Source organism: Homo sapiens, chromosome 5, assembly GCF_000001405.40.
Source record: "Homo sapiens chromosome 5, GRCh38.p14 Primary Assembly".
Lineage (NCBI taxonomy): Eukaryota > Metazoa > Chordata > Mammalia > Primates > Hominidae > Homo > Homo sapiens.
The window spans coordinates 138,032,229-138,052,580 of record NC_000005.10 but is presented as its reverse complement, the minus strand read 5'-3'; the positions used below and the strand labels follow the sequence as shown (position 1 = coordinate 138,052,580).

Below are 20,352 nucleotides of genomic sequence, written 5' to 3'. Positions count from 1 at the left end.
TTTTTTTTTTTTTTTGAGTCTTGCTCTGTCGCCCAGGCTGGAGTGCAGTGGCGCGATCTCGGCTCACTGCAAGCTCTGCCTCCCTGGTTCACGCCCTTCTCCTGCCTCAGCCTCCCGAGTAGCTGGGCCTACAGGTGCCCGCCACCACGCCCTGCTAATTTTGTTTTTGTATTTTCAGTAGAGACGGGGTTTCACTGTGTTAGCCAGGATGGTGTTGATCTCCTGACCTCATGATGCGCCCACCTCAGCCTCCCAAAGTGCTGGCATTACAGGCGTGAGCCACCGTGCCCGGCCATCATTTTGATTTTATAAAAACCCAGACCTTAAACTTTGTTACTCATGCCTGTGATTAAAAGTTTGCCATGCCTCAGGTTTTTTTTTTTTTTTTTAATTATAGCACAGCAGGAGGGTGTTGGGAGGTGCCTGGAAACCCTGGCTGACTTGTCAGGCCATCAGCCTGCTGCCTTGACTGCGATACTGGATGGAATGGGTCCAAGGTCTCCATGTTTCTTGGTGTTTCTACTTTCTTTATCTTCGACGCTGGTTCTTTATCTCTAAGGACACAGATAATAGGCAGCCAAGTTTGCCTGAACAGACTTTTTTGGCAGTTTTCAACCTTGTTTTCTGGACGGGAAGAAGAGGGTGGTAAAAAGCCTACCATACTTGCCGACTGAAAGGGACATCTACAGGGCTGAGTGTTTGGGTGAGTCATTTTCCTTTGGTCCTACCACATTTAGGTAAAATGAAGCTTTTTGGTATAGTGATATAGTGGGGAATGTGCAGGTTTTAGAGTAAAATAGACCAGGGTTTGAATTTCCTCTCTATATGGTTCTCACATTTCTCATCTGCAAAATGGGTTGTTTTAAGAAATAATTTACTTAAAAATACATAGTGTAGGGACCAGCACAGTCAGATGCTCAATATATAGTTGCTACTTTTGTGATGAAAATGAAGACGTTGCAATCAGAAAAACAGGCAATGGAAATGGACAGAGAATTCACTGACTAAGTAATACAACTGGCCAGGAAGCATAACACTCAACCGCACTTGTGATTAGAGAAATGCAAGTTCAATAACGTGTGCCATTGTTTTTGCTCATTAGATTGGCTAAAAATATACATAAAGTCCCTTTTTGGTGAAAGTTTAAGCAAATAGTCATTCTCATATATTTTTATAACACCTCTTTGGAGGTAGGTTTGGTAACATATATTAAATTTTAACTGTGTTATTCTTTAATTCTAAACAATTTTGTTTCCAGGAATCTGTTCTACACAAATATACATGAGTATACAAACATATTGTAGCACTGTTTTTCATAGTGAAAACTAGAAACAAATTTACTAATATGGATCTATTTCTAAGGAATAATATGTGTAAAAAGCATATTAGAGTATTATACTATGATCCTATTTATGTTAAGAAAAAGATAATTGTGTGTGTACATTTTATAAATGTATGAAAAGAGGTCTGAGAGGATATATTTCAGAAGGTTTACTTTTGGGGGAAGTAGAGGAAGATTAGGGTGAAGTGAGAGTTTTGCTTTTCATTCTCCCCCCCCCACTAATATGCTACATATGCTTTTCTTTATTCTTCTAAATCTTTGAATTTTCCTAAAGACTATGTATTATAATTTTTGGTGCCAAAAATCAGGAACAAATATGTATTATTTTTGTATTTGTAAAAACAATTTAACAGAAGGGTGAAGATGTGAATTTAGACTATCTGTAAGGCCCTCTGTAAGTACTTGTCTAGACTCAACATCATAGTTGGGTAGAGACAGTTCTTGGGTCTGGAAGGGTGGGAAGAGCTTATATTTAAGAAGCAAAACTTTCACTTCATGGTCTGGGGCTTGAATTTTTGGACCAATAAACCCAAGTGACCCCTTCTGAAGACAGTAGACAGTATGGGAGAGGTTAACAGGTGTTTCTGTAGTCTTGTCCTATCCAAGGTCCTCTATTTTAAAAAAAGAAAGGTCTTGGGCTTCTTTGGAAGAGGCAAGGCAATCTCTGAGTTGTAGTATCTCCGAGTCCAAGATGGTGGGGCTGGCATAGAACCTTCCAAGTTCTTTCTGCCTCTTTGCTTCCTTTCAGGTTGGCATGTCAGATGTTTTGTCTGTTTGTTTGTTTGTTTGTTTGTTTGTTTTGAGACGGAGTTTCATTCTTGTTGCCTAGGCTGGAGTGCAGTGGCCCAATCTCAGCTTGCTGCAACCTCCGCCTCCCGGGTTCAAGGGATTCTCTTGCCTCAGCCTCCCAAGTAGCTGGGATTACAGGCGTGCATCACCACGCCTGGCCAATTTTTTATTTTTAGTAGGGACAGGGTTTCTCCATGTTGGTCAGGCTGGTCTTGAACTCCCCATCTCAGGTGATCTGCCTGCCTCGGCCTCTCAAAGTGCTAGGATTACAGGCATGAGCCACCATGCCTGGCCCTCTTTTTATTTGTTTTGAGGCAGGGTCTCCACTCTGTCACTCAGGCTGGAGTACAGTTGAGTGATCATAGCTTACTGTAGCCTTGAACTTGTGGACTCAAGCGATCCCCTCACCTAAGCCTCCCAAGAAGCTGGGACTATGGGCACATACCACCACACCGGGCTAATGTTTAAATTTATTTTATTTTATTTTGTAGAGAAAAGGGCTCACTTTGTTGCCCAGGTTGGTCTCTAACTCCTAGTCTCAGGCAATCCTTCCACTTCAGCCTCCCAAAGTGCTGAGATAACAGACATGAGCCACTGTGCCTGGCCAAACATGTCGGATTTTATTAGATATTCTGGATCCCTAATAATGAAATTTTTCTTTAGGTTTTGGAAGCTTTCTTGGGTTATAAGTGCCCACAAACTTTTTGTAGTTTGCACATTTAGCTCCCAGCACTGTGGACAATATCCGAGTGAGAAAACAGACAGAACTACTTATTGAAGATAGGAATGGAGGCTGACAGATGGAAAATCCTGTTTTGCTTGGTAACTTACTCCAAATGAAAAGAGGTTTCATGGAGTTAAGAAATGTATCACTCTAGGCCGGGCACGGTGGCTCACGCCTGTCATCCCAGCACTTTGGGAGGAAGAGGTGGGTGGATCATCTGAGGTCAGCAGTTCAAGACCAGCCTGACCAACAGGGTGAAACCCCACCTCTACTAAAAAAAAAAAATTAGTAGGGCGTGGTAGCACACGCCTGTAGTCCCAGCTACTCAGGAGGCTGAGGCAGGAGAATCGCTTGAACCCGGGAGGCAGAGGTTGTAGTGAGCCGAGATCACGCCATTGTATTCCAGCCTGGGCAACAACAGCGCAAAACTCTATCTTGAGGAAAAAACAAAAACAAAAACAAAACAAGAAATGTATCACTCTGAAGCCAGGCACAGTGGCTCACGCCTGTAATCCCAGCACTTTGGGAGGCCCAGGCAGGCAGATTGCTTAAGGCCAGGAGTTCGAGACCAGCCTGGCCAATGTGGTAAAATCCCGTCTCTACTAAAAATACAAAAATTAGCTGGGCGCGGTGGCGCACGCCTGTAACTCCAGCTAGTCGGGTGGCTGAGGCACGAGAATCACTTGAACCTGGGAGGAGGAGGTTGCAGTGAGCCAAGATCTCACCACTGCACTCCAGCCTGAGCAAAGGAGTGACTTCGCCTTAAAAAAAAAAAAAAAAAAAAAGAAATGTATCACTCTAATGTCCTTCAGAATTCTCTGATTTTTAGATTGTAGTCAGAAGGAGACTGACATTGAGGTAGTGGCAAAGGTCTGCATGGGGTACAATGATGCTATATTTCATCACATTGCTGAATACTTTTAAAAATATTGTGAATATATGAGAAAGAGCATGTAATGCATATATACAATTTGCAAAATAATTATGAAAAACAAACCCTATATACCTTCTACTTGGCTTGAGAATTAGAATGTTACAAAAGCTCTGAAGGTCCTAGGGGTCGGCCAGCATGCTGGTACAATTTGGCCACTGCAAAAAGGTGCCTTACCAAGGGGAGAGGGATTTGCCTCCTAAAAAATGGAGCTTTTTCCTTGGGTACAAAGACACCACCTGGTGCTAGGCTGAGGGTCCATAGGCTGGTTCCTACCCAGTGGATATGTCATTTTTCTAATTATCTGCTCAGAAAACAATTCTTTTTTCTAGTTCACATAGAGGCCTCTTATAGGCTAGTGTACTGTGTCCTAGGGGTGCGGGGTCACACCTATAAGTTCTGTACCCTCCACTATAAGTAACAATTATATTGAATTTTGGATTATTATTTTTCTTTAGTGTTTTACCATGTATATATGCATCTCTAAATTACCTACCTCTCTTTCCCTGTACTCCAAAGTGCCATTTGGCGTTGTATTAGTGTTTTGTTTTGTTTTTAATTGCTATAACAAATTACCACAAACTTAGTGGCTCAAACACACAGATTTGTATGTGTGGGGCAGTGGGTATATGGGAAATCGTACTTTCTGCTTTATTTTTCTGTAAACCTAAAACTGCTCTAGAGTTTTGTTTTTTGTTTTTTTGGATTTCTTTCTTTCTTTTTTCTTTCTTTCTATTTTAAAAGGCATTAGGTACTAGCATTAGGGGAAACTTGGAACTCTCTGTACTATCTTTTGCAACTTTTCTGTAAACCTAAAGTTATTCTAAAATAAAAAGGTTATTTAAAATTTTTTAAAAACACAATACAAATGTATTATTTTATAGTTCTGTAGGTCAGCAGTCTGACGTGGGTCTCACTGGGCTAAAGTCAGGCCCCTAGAGGAATATCTAGGGGTCTATAGGAAAGAATCTGTTTGCTTGCCTTTCCTAGCTTCTAGAGGTGGTCCACATTCCCTGGTTCATGGCCTCCATTCACTTTCAAAGCCAGCAATGGCAGATTGAGTTATTCTCATACCCAGTCACTCCAGTGTCTTCTGCCTTCCTCTTCCATTTATAAAGGCCTGTGTGATTACATTGGGCCCACCCAGATAATCCGGGATAATTTCCCCATCTCTGGGTCAGTTGAGCAACTTTAATTCTGCCTATAACCTTTATTCCCATTTGTTATGTGCCGTAACATATTCACAGGTTCTAGGGAATAGAATGTGGACATCTTCATTTTTTTTTTTTTGAGATGGAGTCTTGCTCTGTCACCAGGCTGGAGTGCAGTGGTGTGATCTCGGCTCACTGCAACCTCTGCCTCCTGGGTTCAAGCAATTCTCCTGCCTCAGCCTCCTGAGTAGCTGGGACTACAGGCGTGTGCTACCACGCCCTACTAATTTTTTTTTTTTTTAGTAGAGGTGGGGTTTCACCCTGTTAGTCAGGATTGTCTTGATATCCCGACCTCATGATCCACCCGCCTCGGCCTCCCAAAGTGCTGAGATTACAGGTATGAGCCACCGCGCCCGGTCTGAATGTGGACATCTTTGGGACATCATTATTCTGCCTACACTAGCCATCTTTATGTAGTACTTTGCCACATGCTTGTTCTGCCCCCCAACTAAAAATGATTGTTCTTTTGTTTCTTCTCTACAGATAGCTCACTCCATATCTGTCAAGCTTGAGTTGCTTTCTGAGTAAGTGAAAAGAAGTGGCTGGGCACGGTGGCTCACGCCTGTAATCCCAGCCCTTTGGGAGGCCGAGGCAGGTGGATCATAAGGTCAGGAGTTCAAGACCAGCCTGGCCAAGATGGTGAAACCCCGTCTCTACTAAAAATACAAAAATTAGCTGGGCGTGGTGGTGGGTGCCTGTAATCCCAGCTACTCGGGAGGCTGAGGCAGAGAATTCCTTGAACCCGGGAGGCAGAGATTGCAGTGAGCTGAGATTGTGCCACTGTACTCCAGCCTGGGTGACAGAGTGGGACTCCATTTCAAAAAAAAGAAAAGAAAAAAAGAAAAGAAGAAATACCCTTATTCTGATATAGTAATAATGTCTCATAATAGTATTAAACTACTGAATTAAATGTATTTTCTGGACATTAATTCAGCATTTATCAATAGCTCCAAATTGAGTTTCAGGAGCAAACTAAGGCCAGAGACTACCACTTACACTTCCTGTTGTTTCCAACTTTTAAAATTCCAAAATGAAAACATATACAAGAAAGACAGAAAACAGAAATGCACAAAAAGAAAAATTCTAAAGGAAACACCTGTGTAGCCACCATCCAATTAGGGAAAGAGAAAATAGACAATGCCCCTTCCTCAAAGCTCGCCTTGTGGCTCTTGTCTGTCACATACCACCTCTCTCTTCTTAGAGATAAACCACCATCCTGACTTTTACAGTAATCAGTTGCTTGGCAGTTACTACTCTGTGTTAGTACATTTTCACACTGCTGATAAAGACATACCAGAGACTGGGCAATTTACAAAAGAAACAGGTTTATTGGACTTAACAGTTCCACGTGCCTGGGGAGGCCTCACAATCATGGTTGAAGGAAGGAGGAGCAAGTCACATCTTATGTGGATGGCAGCAAGCAAAGAGAGAGCTTGTGCAGAGAAACTCCACCTTATAAAAACCACCAGATCGTGTGAGCCTTATTCACTATCACGAGAACAGCATGGGAAAGACTTGCCCCCGTGATTCAATTACTTCCCACTGCATCCCTCCCACAACATGTGAGAATTCAAGATGAGATTTGGGTGGGGACACAGCCAAACCACATCATACTCTTTATAATTTTTTTTTTTTTTTGAGATGGAATTTCACTCTTGTTGCCCAAGTGGGAGTGCAGTGGTGCCATCTTGGCTCACTGCAACCTCTGCCTCCTGGGTTCAAGTGATTCTCCTGCCTCAGCCTCCAGAGTAGCTGGGATTACAGGCACCTACCACCACGCCTGGCTAATTTTTGTATTTTTAGTACCTCCACCTGCCTCAGCCTCCCAAAGTGCTGGGATTACAGGTGTGAGCCACTGTGTCTGGCCACTGTTTGTAATTTTACCACCTGTGTACGTACCTCTGACTAGTTTTGTCTGATTTTGAACTTTATAAAAGAGCCATTCTGTAGGTTTCTTTTGTATTTTATTTACCTTCTTTATTGCTATGATTCAACAATGCGGTTACCTGTAGGTCTAAGTTTATTCATCCTTTTTTTCTTTTTTTGTTTTTGAGATGGGGTCTGGCTCTGTTGCCCAGGCTGAAGTGCAATGGTACAGTCTTGGCTCACTGCAGCCTCTGCCTCCCAGGCTCAAACCATCCTCCCACTCAGCCTCCTGAGTAGCTGCGATTACAGGTGTGTGCCACTGTGCTTGGCTAATTTTTGTATTTTTTGTAGAGATAGGGTTTTGCCATGTTACCCAGGCTTGTCTCGAACTCCTGAGCTCAAGTGATCTGCCTGCCTCAGCCTCCCAAAGGGCTAGGATTACAGGTATGAGCCACCATGCCTGGCCTCATTCTTTTCTCATTCTTGTATGTATTTCCTTGTATGGTCTATCCTTCTGTGGCTGGAGTGTTTTGTTTCCATTTTTGGACTATTAGAATTAATGCAGATGTGAACATTTTTATACCTATATTCTGCTACCTTTGTGCACACAGATCTCCAGAGTATATACTCAGGAGTGGAACTGTTTAGTTCTAGAGATATTATGTTTTCAATTTTAGAATTTACACTGCTACTAGCAGTGAAAGAGATTCTGCTCTTCCACATCACTTGATACTATCAGACTTACTAATTTTGGCCATGCTGGCGAGTTTATTATGGTGGATGTAAAGTTGTATTTTTTAGTTTGCGTTTCCCTGATTACTAATGTGGTTGAGTATTTTTCATACATGTGTTGGCCATTTGGATTTCCTTTTATGATGCAATCCCTATAAAAAGTTTATTTTTGTAATTTCATATTAGATTGTCTTTTTAAAAAATTTAAAATTTATTTCCAGAAGTTCTCTATATCATGTAGATAGTAGTCCTTTTTGGGTTGAATGTTTTGTAGCTAACTTTTCCAGTCTTTTGGCTTGAACTTTCACTTTTTTAATGGTGTCAAATGTAAAATAGCTGAATTTATCAATCCTTACTGTACCGTGAAAAGGTTGTGTTTTATTTAAGAATCACGAAGACATTGTCTTATATTATCCGTTTTTTTTTTTTTTTTCGAGATGGAGTCTTGCTCTGTCGCCCAGGCTGGAGTGCAATGGTGTGATCTTGGGTCACTGCAACCTCCGCCCCCTGGGTTCAAGTGATTCTCCTGCCTCAGCCTCCTGAGTAGCTGGAATTACAGGCGTGTGCCACCATGCCTGGCTAATTTTTGTATTTTTATTAGAGACTGGGTTTCACCACATTGGTCAGGCTGGTCTCGAACTCCTGACCTCAGGTGATCCGCTCACCTTGGCCTCCCAAAGTGCTGGGAATAGAGGCATGAGCCACAGCGCCCGGCCTATTATCTTTTTTTAAAAGCTTACTTTAAAATATCTTTTTTAGGCTGGTGCAGTGGCTCATGCTTGTAATCCTAGCACTTTGGGAGGCTGAAGTGGGAGGATCGCTTGAGGCCAGGAGTTCAAGACCAGCCTGGGCAACATAGCAAGACTTTGTCTCTACCAAAAAAATAAAAAATACATAAAAAAAGCTAGGTGTGACAGCATGTGCCTATAGTTCCAGCTACATAGGAGGTTGAGGTGGGAGGATCACTTGAGCCCAGGAGTTCTGGGCTACCATGAGCTATAATGGAGCCACTGTACTCCAGCCTGGGAGATGGAGTGAGACACTTTCTCTAATAAAAATACCAAAATACCCCCCTTTTCATTGTGCAATATTCATATAGAAAATGTCCTGGCTGGGTATGGTGGCTCATACCTGGTAATCCCAGCACTTTGGGAAGGTGAGGCAAAAGGATTGCTTGAGCCCAGGAGTTTGAGACCAGCCTGGGCAACAGAGAGAGATCCCATTTCTGTTAAAAAAAGAAAAAAAAGAGGCCGGGTGCGGTGGCTGACGCCTATAATTTCAGCACTTTGGGAGGCCGAGGCAGGCGGATCATGAGGTCAGGAGTTCGAGACCAGTCTGACCAACATGGTGAAACCCTGTCTCTACTAAAATACAAAAAATCAGCCGGGCGTGGTGGCGTGCGCCTGTAGTCCCAGCTACTTGGGAGGCTGAGGCAGGGGAATTGCTTGAACCTGAGAGGTGGAGGTTGCAGTGAGCCGAGATCGCACCACTGCACTTCGGCCTGGCGACAGAGCAAGACTCTGTCTCAAAAAAAAAAAAAAAAGAAAGAAAGAAAAAAAAGAATAATGCCCGAACAAGGTAAACACAGGTCAATAATTTATTCTTATTTATTATTTATTTTTTGAGACAGGGTCTCTCTCTGTCATCCAGGGTGGAGTGCAGTGGCACAATCATGGATCACTGCAGCTTTGACCTGGCCTCAAGCAATCCTCCCACCTCAGCCTCCTGAGTAGCTGGGACTACAAGTGTGTTACCATGCCTGGCTAATTTTTAATTTTATTTTTTATAGAGACAGGGTCTCACTATGGTGCTCAGGCTGGTCTCCAATTCCTGGCCTCAAGTGATTCTTGCTGGCCTGGTCAATTTCTTCTTTTGTTGTTGTTCTTTTTTATTTGAGATGGAGTCTGGCTCTGTTGCCCAGGCTGGGATGAAGTGGCACGATCTCAGCTCACTGTAACCTCCACTTCCTGGGTTCGAGTGATTCTTCTGCCTCAGCCTCCCGAGTAGCTGGGACTACAGGCATGCGCCACCACACCCGGCTACTTTTTGTATTTTTAGTAGAAACAGGGTTTCACCATGTTAGCCAGGCTGGTCTTGAACTCCTGGCTTCAGGTGGTCCACCCTCCTCAGCCTCCCAAAGTGCTGGGATTATAGGCATGACCCACCGCGCCTGGCCCCTGGTCAATTTAATACAAAGCAAACACCCATGTAACCACCACAGCTCATATCAAGAATAAGAGCATTCTTATTTTTGTGTCTCCACGAACTCTTGCCCCTCGTTCCCAGAAGAACCAGAACCAGTATCATGATGTCTATGATAGTCACTTCCTGGCTTTTTTTTTTTTTCTTTTAAGTTTTTCCCCTAATTTGTATCCCTAAACATGATGATTTAGTTTTGCTTTTTTTGGGAAACACTGTTATATTTAATTTCAATTAAAGAAAAAACTTAAAAACTTAAGGAGCTAGTTTTTATTTTTAAACTTTTTGAAATATAAAATACATATGGAGAAGTATACAGATCATGAGTACAGCTCACTGAATTGTCCCTAGGTGAACATATATGTGCAACTTCCCCCTAGGTTAAGAAATGGAATATCTTCTCATGACCCCTCCTTATTATTGATTTCTTCCTTCCTCAAAAAGACTTCCCTCCTTAACCACAATTCTGACTTCTAAAATGATAGTTTAGTTTTCCCTGCTTTTGAACTGTTTTTAACGGATTCATACAGTATTTGTTTGTGTCTGGCTTCTTTCATTTATTTTTGTGATTCATCACATTGTTGTTTGTAGCTGTAGTTTGTTCATTTTCATTGTTTACATGGTATGAAGATACCATACTGTATTAATCATTCATCATTCTATCATTGCTATCTACCTGAGCTTGAGTTTCCATTTTTTTCACCAATATAAAAAATGCAGCTATGAACTTCAGGGTCTTCCCCTGTTGTGCAGGCTGGAGTGCAGTGGTGCAGTCATAGTTCACTGTAACCTTGAACTTCCGGGCTCAAAAAATCCTCCTGCCTCAGCCTCCTGACTAGCTGGGATTACAGGTGCAAACCACTGTGCCTGGCTATTAATATTTTTTTTTTTTTTGAGACAGGGTCTTGCTCTGCCACCCAGGCTGGAGTGCGGTGGTGCTTACTGCAGGCTTGAATTACCAGGTTCAGGTGATTCTCCTGTCTCAGTACCACCCCCCACCCCCAATTTTTTTTTTTGAGATGGGGTCTTGCTATGTTGCCCAGGCTGGTTTCAAACTCCTGGCCTTAAGCAATCCTCCTGCCTTGGCCTCCCAAAGTGCTGGGATTATGGGTGTGAACCACCATGCCCAGCTCTTTGACTTTTAATTAGGAATTAATATATTTACACTGATTGTAATTACTCATATTTGAATTTATTTCTGCTATCTAATGTTTTACTATTTGTCCTCCTTAAACATTTTTTATCCATTTTTAAAATTAAGATCTTCCTATTTTATTTTATCCCCCTAATAAACTGGAAGTTATATATACTGTTTAATTTCTTGTACTGATTATGTAGAAATTTTAACATGTATATTTAACTCAACAAATTATAGACTTATTTAGCCTCCTCTTAAACAATACAAAGCCTTCTAATACTTTAATTTACCCTCTCACAATAGTATATGTTAAATTATTGAACAATAGTAGAATTTAGATATTGTTGCCATTATTTTGGATAGTGTTTAGATTTACAGCAAACATGCAAACAATTTTCTTTGTTCACCATTACTTCTCGCATTTTGGATCTTCCTTCTGGAAGATGGTAATTTTCTCTTAACATTTTGAAGATACGCTGCAGTATCATTTGGCTTCTATTGTTACTATTGAAAGGTCAGCTGTCAGCCAAATTATCTTTTCTTTGAAGATTAGTGTCTTTTCTTTTCTTTTTTTTTTTTTTTTTTGAGATGGAGTCTTGCTCTGTTGCCTAGGCTGGAGTGCAGTGGCGCAATCTCAGCTCACTGCAACCTCTGCCTCCCAGGTTCAAGTGATTCTCCTGCCTTAGCCTCTCGAGTAGCTGGGATTACAGGCGTGTGCCACCACACCCAGCTAATTTTTGTAATTTTAGTAGAGGCAGGGTTTTGCCATGTTGGTCAGGCTGGTCTCGAACTCCTGACCTCAGGCAATCTGCTCATGTTGGCCTCCCAGAGTGCTGGGATTACAGGCGTGAGCCACTGTGCCCGGCCTAATGTCTTTTCTTGCTGCCTAATTTTAAGATCCCCTTTCTCTCTGGGTACTAAATTTTATGTGTGCATTTTATACTTTTCAGCATGGCAAGTTTTGGTCTTCCAGAATTTAGGATATTTACCTTCAATTCTGGAAAATGTTCAGCCACTATTTCTTTGAATATTGTCTTCCCTCCATTCTATTATCTCCTTCTTTTTTGTTTGTTTTGTTTTTGAGACGGTGTCTACGTCGCCCAGGCTGGAGTGCAGTGGCGCGATCTCGGCTCACGGTAATCTCCGCCTCCCAGATTCAAGCAATTCTCCTGCCTCAGCCTCCTGAGTAGCTGGGATCACAGGCATGCACCACCATGCCGAGCTAATTTTTTTTAATATTTTTAGTAGAGACAGCGTTTCACCATATTGGCCAGGCTGGTCTGGAATTCCTGACCTTGTGATCGGCCCGCCTCGGCCTCCCAAAGTGCTGGGATTACAGGCTTGAGCCACCGTGCCCGGCCTTTTTTTTTTTTTTTTTTTTTTTTTGAGACAGAGTCTTGCTCTGTCGCCAGGCTGAAGTGCAGTGGTGCAATCTCGGCTCACTGCAACCTCTGCCTCCTGGGTTCAAATGATTCTCCTGCCTCAGCCTCCCCAGTAGCTGGGATTACAGGCATGCGCCACTACGCCTAGCTAACTTTGTATTTTTAGTAGAGATGGGGTTTCACTATGTTGGTCAGGCTGGTCTTGAACTCCTGACCTCGTGATCCGCCTTCCTCGGCCTCCCAAAGTGCTGGGATTACAGGCTTGAACCACCGTGCCCGGCCAGGTTGGTTTCTTTCTATGAAGGCCTAAAATAGGGATGTACACCTTCATGTTTTGGAGCTTCTCTGCTGATGAGCTTGGGGATTCAGAAAACATTAAATGCTTCTGTAAATTGTTATATACTCTAGTGGAAAAGAGTAGTTAGGTGTAAATGTTTGGCAAAAAATACAGCTGTAGTTAAACTGCAAACTGCAAACATTGGCGTTGTCAGTTTGCCACAGAAAATGTGGTCTGAATGGAAGGTGCCTGAAGGCTAGGCATGGTGGCTCATGCCTGTAATCCCAGCACTTTGGGAGGCCGAGGTGGGAGGATCTCTTGAGCCCAGGAGTTAGAGGCCACCCTGGGCAATGTAGTGATAATACGTCTCTAAGAAAAAAAAAAAAAAAAGCTGGGCATGGTGGCACATGCCTGTAGTCCCAGATACTTGGGAGGCTGAGGTGGGAGGATTGCTTGAGCCTGGGATACTGAGGCTGCAGTGAGCTATAATTGGGCCACTGGACCCAGACCCTGACTCAAAGGGGAAAAAAAAGGTGCTGAGAAGCAACTTGGCTGGTCAAATGATAGGAAGGCTCAAAAGCCTAGAGCCTGTAAGGAACAGGTAGGATATGCAAAATGGTGAGACCCTCCTGCCTAGATTTCTGGTTAAAAAGGCAGCAGAAAGTTCATGATTTTGTGAAGGTCATAATCTCACTGAATCTCAGAGCAGTTTTTTCTTTCCCCTATATGGATACAGGCAGAGGGAAGAAGAGAAAGGGATATTTATTCTTTGTTATTTATTTATTTTCAACAATAAAAGTTCTGATTGTGGAAAAAATATCTAGCTGATTATAGGAATTTAATAAAGAAACCAAAACAAATTAGTCTTATAGCTGATGATAGTATTGGCCTACATTATTGTCATACACTGAATTCTGAGTTATCAGGCCAAATATGTGGACTTGGCAAAGATGAGACTTACTGTTAATTGTTCCAGCTCTCCAAACTGGATGTGACTGGCACCAGTGGCTATATGAGTGAATATAGAAGCTGAAATCCACATTATGTTAACTTTGGTTCTATTCCACCAAAATATTTTATTCCAGAGATATGTAAGATGAAGCTTTTCCAGGGCAGAGATCATGATCATATCGCCTAGCACAGTGCCTGACCCATAATAGCTGCCCAAGAAATATGTGTTGAATAAATAAATGGCACAAAGGTTATTCTGGGTTGCTAAGATCAGAACAGTATTTGCCATTATTTTGGAGGTTGGCGTGGGATTTGTACACCCTGGAACAGTTTCTTCTCTTTGCAGCTAGTGATATTTTTCTGTTTATGAAAAACACACATTCTTGCACACTGGCACAATGGTCCTGGGCAAAGTGGCACAGAAAGATTTCCACTCCATTTCTTGGAAGAGCCAGCAATACATCTCTCTAATGGTGAGTTGCTTCTCTTTTACCAGAGGATTTAAATTTGATGTGTTTTTAGTTCTTCCTTTCTTCCCAGTAGAGGAGACTACCTCAAGGAGAAAATTCATTAGCTGAGTTTGACTGAATTTGATAGCATTTTACTGCTCTGTGAGAATCAAGAGTAGTCACAATCTCATCTCCATATGCACTTGTTTTTCCCTGCACACAAGACTGCATGTAATGATGGCTTCCTATCTGTATTTACAGTCATGTCTTGTTCTACAAATGGGCAGTGTAAATATGCTTCTAATTGGGGAAGAGATGTGCTTGTATTTACTGTAACTTACAAGGCTCAGAAGATCTTAAAACCAGCACCGAGAGTTTGGGGGAATTCTTAGTGGTTCTTGGTTTTCATTTACAAATAGATAGACAAAGATTTGGCAATTTCTGTCAAGAAAGGTGTTCACACTGGGCCTCATTCCTGGCAATAAATCCAGATATGAAAGCAAGACATTTTCAGGTTGTTCTCTAGGCCTCTGAATGCAGTATAGGAGAGGGAACTGAAAAAATTGTATATGGCTAATAAAGCACTTTTATGCATACCAATTCATTTAAGTCTGTTTCCCTATTTGACTAATGGGGAATCTAAGGTACAACTAAGTTAAGTAACTTGACCAGAGTCAAAAGGCTAGTAACAGGGCTAGAACTGGAACTTGGAATGTTTGTTTTATCTATTTTACTTTTAAGTGATAGAATTGGTGGGGATAGAATATATCTTTTTGGCTTTTCTGGCTAGGGTGGCTCGTTTCTTATTAACATCGTATTAAGAAAGACAAGGCAGCCTTGACTGAACTCAAGTTAATCTATATCCCAGTACTCAAACAGCCTTGCTCAGGGAGATCAGTAACGGTAAGGAAAACACCTGATTAAAAGTTTCCTTACTGATGGTGCAAGGGAAGGGCTCAACATCCTGCTACATCTGGAAGAGATGAATTCAGTCAAACTCATGTAAAGGATGGAAGAACCCATTTGCATTCTCTGTGAATAATGAGGGCATTATTAGCCATCTGTAAAGTAACTGCAGAGACAGCTACTTCCTGACTTCAAGTCTCATTCCAGTGACACTGGTGACCTTGGGGAGGCAGATATGCTGAGGTCCTCCCTGGCATCTAGAATGCAGTCCAGGTTGTAGCAAAGATATATTCCTTCCACAGTGATGTGACTCATGACCTTACTTCTGAGAGGCATAATGCCTCTGTTCAGATAAGCTGGGATAGAATGCTTGTTTTCCAGGCTTAAAAGTCATCTTGCAAATAAATAACAATTTTATCTCAAGTAGTAATTTTCCTGGCATGGCCTCATCTCCAGAAGGAGTCTTGGAAACACAAAGGATTGGTCTATACCAGTCACTTCTCATCCTGGCCAAATAGCTATTGCAAATGCTATTTTTGACTCTATTGATATATTGAAATGTGACGTTTCCATCTACAGGTAAAGAATTTGTAGGAAAAAAAGAAGAAAAAGTGATGTAATTTTGAAGTATTCTTTTAGTGAGGTATTCTCTCATCTCTGTAACAAACAGAATTGCTGTTCTTTGCTGTAGGGGCTGTCCTGTGCCGTAAAGGATGTTTACCAGCATCCTTGACCTTCTCCCACCAGCCAATAGCACCTCTCCAGTGGTGACAATCAAAAATGTCTGTATTCAGCAGATCCTGAATTCAGAAGGAAAAAAAAAGTTTAAAAAAAAACCAAAAATGTCTGCACACATGGTCCCCCAAAATTGTCGCAGTTGAGAACCACTGTTTTAACTGAAGCAACAAGATTATTATAAAAGAAACCATCTTCTTCCCTCCATCCACCAAAAAACTAAAGTAATTTCTGAGATAGACCCCCTCTAGAAATTTCAGAGGATTTAGACAAAGCAGGTAGATTAAATACTCAGTTATTTAGTTATAAAAGGCCAAACCAGAATTATTGAGGACAATGTCTTTGGAGACTGTTGCTGGTGAGCTGTGATTCTTACCACAGGTGCCTGCCTGCCTTTTACTTCAAGTCGAGGGAGTGGGCCTTCAATGGATCTGCTCAGAGCACTTGACTTGTACCTCCTGCAGTCTGAGGGGCACCGTGGGCCTGTGTCTGACTCCCACAGGCTGGCGGCTGTTTTGGCAGCAGAGTAGAGGAATGTTGAATCTGCACTGGGATTAGCCTGTACTCCCAAGTTTGTTCGGGCAAGAGGTGCCTGAGAGCTTCCTGTGGACCAGGTGTGGGCCATACAGAGCTGTCACTAGGCTAACACAGCAGCACCATGAGAAAAAAGCTCTCCTTCGTCCAGACGCTTTGCTTCCATCTATTGGGAAGCAGTCGTTGTAATTTAGTTTGGACAAAACACTTTACTGCCACCTGCTGGAAAAACATTAAAATAAATAACATACAGAACTACAGTGAGAATGATGTGAATGGCACCCCCTAGGGTACGGAGTGCACAACCTTGTCCCACAATAAAGGGTCACTTGCAAATGGACGAGTGTGAGAGTCATCTCAGATCCTATCTGACAGGGCCTTTACAGAGATGCCCAGGTTTCAACAGACAAGTAGTTGGAGGTGCGTGGAAAGAAGTAAATAACTGCCAAAATAGCTTTACGCTTAGACCAATAGAATTATGGGGGAGAAACCACCAGAGAAGGGGGATGGTGGTAGTCTCTGAGGTATCCATGAAAAAATAAGTCAGCTTTAAGCATCTACCATGCCCAGGGAATGTCAAACCATCATACAAAGTTAACAACTTTCCTGCTCCTTTTTCTCCCTGCCTTCCCCAGATTTGGTTATGATTAGTTAAGCCGGGAGGAGAAAGACTAGGCAGGTTAAAGATGACTATGGTCCCCTCTTTAGGGCAAGCAATGAGACAACTGTTCCCAGCTGAAAAAGAGGAAAACATTTCACTCTTTGTGACTCAATGACAACAGGACTCTATTCCTAAGGAGACCACAGAACCCCTAAAAACTCATGGAACCTGCCTGAGTTTTCAATTAGGTACATGACAGATCTACTCCCACTGCACAAATTGAAAGGCATGGCAAAAGATACAAAATAAAAGTGTTTGTTTTGAATTATAGCCCATGTGGCCCCTATGTTGAACATACTGTTTTTATATTATCAAGTAGGATCTAGAGAATATATCTTCCAAGAATATGTTCTGCAGTTTTTGAGGGGGAAAATGGTCATTGATCAATTCATTTGTTTTTTGAGATCCCATACTTTGTGGGTAGGGTATAAAAACGCAAGGGAGGCCGGGCACGGTGGCTCACGCCTGTAATCACAGCACTTTGGGAGGCTGAGGTGGGAGGATCACTTGAGGCCAGGAGTTCAAGAGAGGCCTGGGCAACATAGGGAAACCCATCTCTAAAAAAATTTTAAAATTAGCCAGGCATGGTGGCATGTCCCTGTAGTCCCAGCTACTCAGGAGACTAGGGTAGGAATGCTGCTGGAGGCCAGGAAGTTGAGGCTGTATTGAGCCATAATCCAGACACTGGACCCCAGCCTGAGTGACAGAGCAAGACCTTGTCTCACCAAAAAAAAAAAAAAAAAAAAAAAAAAAAAAAAGGCAAGGGAATCCTTCCCTCTGGGAGCTTACATCTTAGGTTTCATATTCAGAGCAAAGTATTTATTACAGTCAGTTATGTCAACAAGAGCCTGTGTTGCATATGTGGGGCAGGCGGAGGAGGTTTTTAACTCTCTTCGGATTTACTCTCAAGACTTTTACGCACTTATGATAAAGCTTTTGAAGCAATCATATTGCTCCTGTTCTCCAAGCATGGAATCACAGGTAAAGCTTTCATTTAAGATATTTAAAGAGAGATACAAGGCTAAATGCACAGACTGCATCTTCACTGGGCTGCTCTGAAATCAGGCTCTGTTGATCCTGTTTGGCAGATTTGGAAACTTTTATTTCACTTCGCTCAAGTTTAAATAGGCTCTGAGAAATTAATTCGGATAAAACAATTCAACCCAGTGAACAGTGTCCGATTTGTAAACCATGATATGAATTTATTGACAAAAACTGTACAGCTAGTATAACTAGTCCTAGTTATATGCCTTGGACAATCCCTTCTTATTGGGTATGTAGATTTATTTGAGAGACTCCCTGAATGATGGAAAGGCTACTAGCTGAGTTTGGAATCAGAGTATGGGCCTTTGTATGCTCTTAACGGAGATCCAGAATTTAGGTTTGCTAGGATATAAACTCCACGAAGGCAGGGATTTACTGACGTATCTTAAGAGACTAGAACATAGTAAGCATTCACTAAGTATCTGTTGAATGAGTGAGTGAATCTGAATTAAGATTTAACTGCCCTGAGAGTAAGTGTTGGTTCTGGTCATTAGAATCAGTTGCCTCGTTCCTGGACAGAGTTCCTGGGAGCCTCATAGAACATTCTTATTCAGATTCTTCTGGTTTTAGACTCTTTGTGGACCCCACCCTTCGGTTATGACAGCATTAACTGGGTATGTGACACTTAGGTTACACATGGTTTACTCTCTCTGATGAAATGTGGGAGACACTGTGGCCTCTGTAGCCCATTTACAGATCATTTCATAGGGTAACTTTATTTTTTTCAAATCTTGTCCCAAGTTCTATGAGGGTTCTTGTTTTACATTTTCCAAGTTACTAACTTCCAGCTCAGGTAGGTAAGGGACAACTGAATTGTGGTGGCTGCTATTTTTTGTGCAGGTGTTGATCTACCGGCTGTCAAGGAGTCCAAATGGAAGATCTCAAAGCCCTTAACAGACTATAACAAAGAAGAGATTGGCTGAATATTCATACCCTTGTGAGTTCAAGGGAGTTGTAGGGATGGTCTGGGTAGCCATGCAAGTTCAGAGAGCTCATTCTTTCTGCCTCCTTTCAGCTCTGCCTCCGCAGCTGGCTGATTTTAGTATACGAAGCTCCCTGTAAGCCCGCAGCCTATCGACTTCCACAGTCCCAGACTAAGGCACCGAAGCCTTACTGTTCTCTCTGGAGTCTAGGTCAGGTCCTGAGGTGAAGGGGTAGGGTGGGGGCGGGCAGGACGCAGGTGCAGCCCCGTGGTCCCGGATCTAACTCACATCTCTGGGAATGGGAACCGAAGTCACCGCTTAGGTCTCCCCCAGCGGTTTTCGGTTCAGGTCTCTGTGCTCCTCACCTGGATATGGGCGCCCTGGGGGCCTGGCTTCCTCCGCAGAGACCAGAAGCGATCTCTGTGTTCCGGATTTTCCCTTTATCTTTCCTCTCCCCAGTGTCCTCTCTGTTTCCCAACCTCCCCATACCGAGGACCCCACAACCCGCCCCGGGATGGCGCCTGGCTGCTCGCACCCTAATTCAGGACCCCAATTGGTGGGAGAGGAACCGCGGTCCTCAAGCTTGCAGGACACAGGGCCGCTGCCCGGAATGCTGTGGGGGTGGGGACCCTCGCCGCCCCGCCCCCACCAGCGGCCTGCCCCGCCCCCTCCCACGCACGTCACGTCCGGCCCGGCCTCCGCCCGCCAGCCGCTCTCCTCCCGCTCGCCGTTAGGGAGGCTCTGCACCTCAGCCGCCGCCTCTGTCGCCACTCTCTCCCCCTGTTCCGCGTCTGCGTCGCCACCACCGCCGGGGGTATCCGGGGGGTCGCTTACCGGGCTGGCCCCGCGCCACAGCCGTAGCTTTAACCTCCCGTCAGCGGCCGCCCCAGGAAGAGGCTTCTCGGCCGCGGAGCCACTTGGGGCCTCAGTTCTCGCCCTCTTGCCGTCGCCGCGGGTCCTGGAGAAGCGGCCGCGGCCAGGGAACGGGGCATCGCGGTTCCAACGGTAGGTAAACGGGCGGGTACCCGGATCTGCGCATGCGCGGGTTGCAGGTCGCCGCGGCCCTTCCCCTCCTGTTGCCCCCCAGCGCCGCCTGCCACCCGCGCCTGCTCTCGGGCGTTGCGTTTCGGGATGTGGAGGACTCTAGCAGGTGGGGCGTTCCGTGGAGAGGGCCCCCTTTCCGCTGGAGAAAGAGGAAGATGAAGCCGTGTCCCTGGCTGCCGGGGGGTGTGGCAGCCTTGGATTTGCAGCGGCTGCAGTGCAGTTGAGCGGGCGTGCCCCTCACCTCCAGCCCCTCCAGAGTAGATGGCGCGACACCCCACGTTTCTTTGCTGACCTCTCCTGCCCGCTGGCGCTGCGCCTCTTCCCCGCCCACTTCCTTCATGCTGGGCAGTGAAGTTGATGTAGAAGAAAAAGGAGTGTGTTTTATTCTGGGCTCAACTGCGCCCCTTTTTAAGGTCACGTGAGATGAGTGGTTGCGGACTTCCTTAAATCGCTCAGAGAATATAGCCAAAATTGGGCTGTTGGTGCACTGGGGCCTTGTCTAGAATGCGCTCTG

At 43.7% G+C, this 20,352-nt stretch overlaps 1 protein-coding gene and 2 long non-coding RNA genes across 48 annotated transcripts in view, besides 4 other annotated features; 1 reads left to right on the top strand and 2 right to left on the bottom strand.

Moving 5' to 3' along the window:
* The first annotated feature begins 402 nt into the window (after nucleotides 1-402).
* FAM13B (family with sequence similarity 13 member B) overlaps nucleotides 403-20,352 on the top strand; it is a 114,219-nt gene continuing 94,269 nt past the window's right edge. For 27 of the 46 annotated variants that reach the window (NR_169824.1, NR_169815.1, NR_169814.1 and 24 more), the window contains exon 1: nucleotides 19,502-19,799. The gene's annotated coding sequence lies outside the window, so the exon portion shown is untranslated. Of the gene's footprint in view, nucleotides 704-13,927; nucleotides 14,016-18,551; nucleotides 18,581-18,711; nucleotides 18,809-19,501; nucleotides 19,800-19,857; nucleotides 20,252-20,352 lie in introns of those variants that run through there. The other 19 variants (NM_001385869.1, NM_001385866.1, NM_001385873.1 and 16 more) reach the window with 6 other exon arrangements.
* On the bottom strand, nucleotides 13,648-19,807 carry FAM13B-AS1 (FAM13B antisense RNA 1). Its single transcript, NR_037900.2, has 2 exons — nucleotides 19,629-19,807; nucleotides 13,648-16,388 (listed from the first exon to the last, which is right to left on the bottom strand). It is a non-coding gene; the product is annotated as an FAM13B antisense RNA 1 (long non-coding RNA).
* Nucleotides 16,113-16,322: an enhancer, noted in NCBI's record as "active region_23192". NCBI's record gives its function as "activates an Ori minimal core promoter by ATAC-STARR-seq in GM12878 lymphoblastoid cells {active_cell/tissue: GM12878}" and the evidence as "EXISTENCE:reporter gene assay evidence [ECO:0000049][PMID:35858748]".
* LOC124901077 (uncharacterized) lies at nucleotides 17,908-19,442 on the bottom strand. The gene is made up of 2 exons (XR_007058952.1): nucleotides 19,330-19,442; nucleotides 17,908-19,086 (listed from the first exon to the last, which is right to left on the bottom strand). It is a non-coding gene; the product is annotated as an uncharacterized LOC124901077 (long non-coding RNA).
* Nucleotides 19,430-20,313: an enhancer, noted in NCBI's record as "NANOG-H3K27ac-H3K4me1 hESC enhancer chr5:137367957-137368840 (GRCh37/hg19 assembly coordinates)". NCBI's record gives its function as "activates a minimal SCP1, AML or CMV promoter by ChIP-STARR-seq in primed H9 embryonic stem cells {active_cell/tissue: H9 hESC(primed)}" and the evidence as "EXISTENCE:reporter gene assay evidence [ECO:0000049][PMID:30033119]".
* Nucleotides 19,794-19,843: a silencer, noted in NCBI's record as "silent region_16386". NCBI's record gives its function as "represses an Ori minimal core promoter by ATAC-STARR-seq in GM12878 lymphoblastoid cells {active_cell/tissue: GM12878}" and the evidence as "EXISTENCE:reporter gene assay evidence [ECO:0000049][PMID:35858748]".
* Nucleotides 19,854-19,923: a silencer, noted in NCBI's record as "silent region_16385". NCBI's record gives its function as "represses an Ori minimal core promoter by ATAC-STARR-seq in GM12878 lymphoblastoid cells {active_cell/tissue: GM12878}" and the evidence as "EXISTENCE:reporter gene assay evidence [ECO:0000049][PMID:35858748]".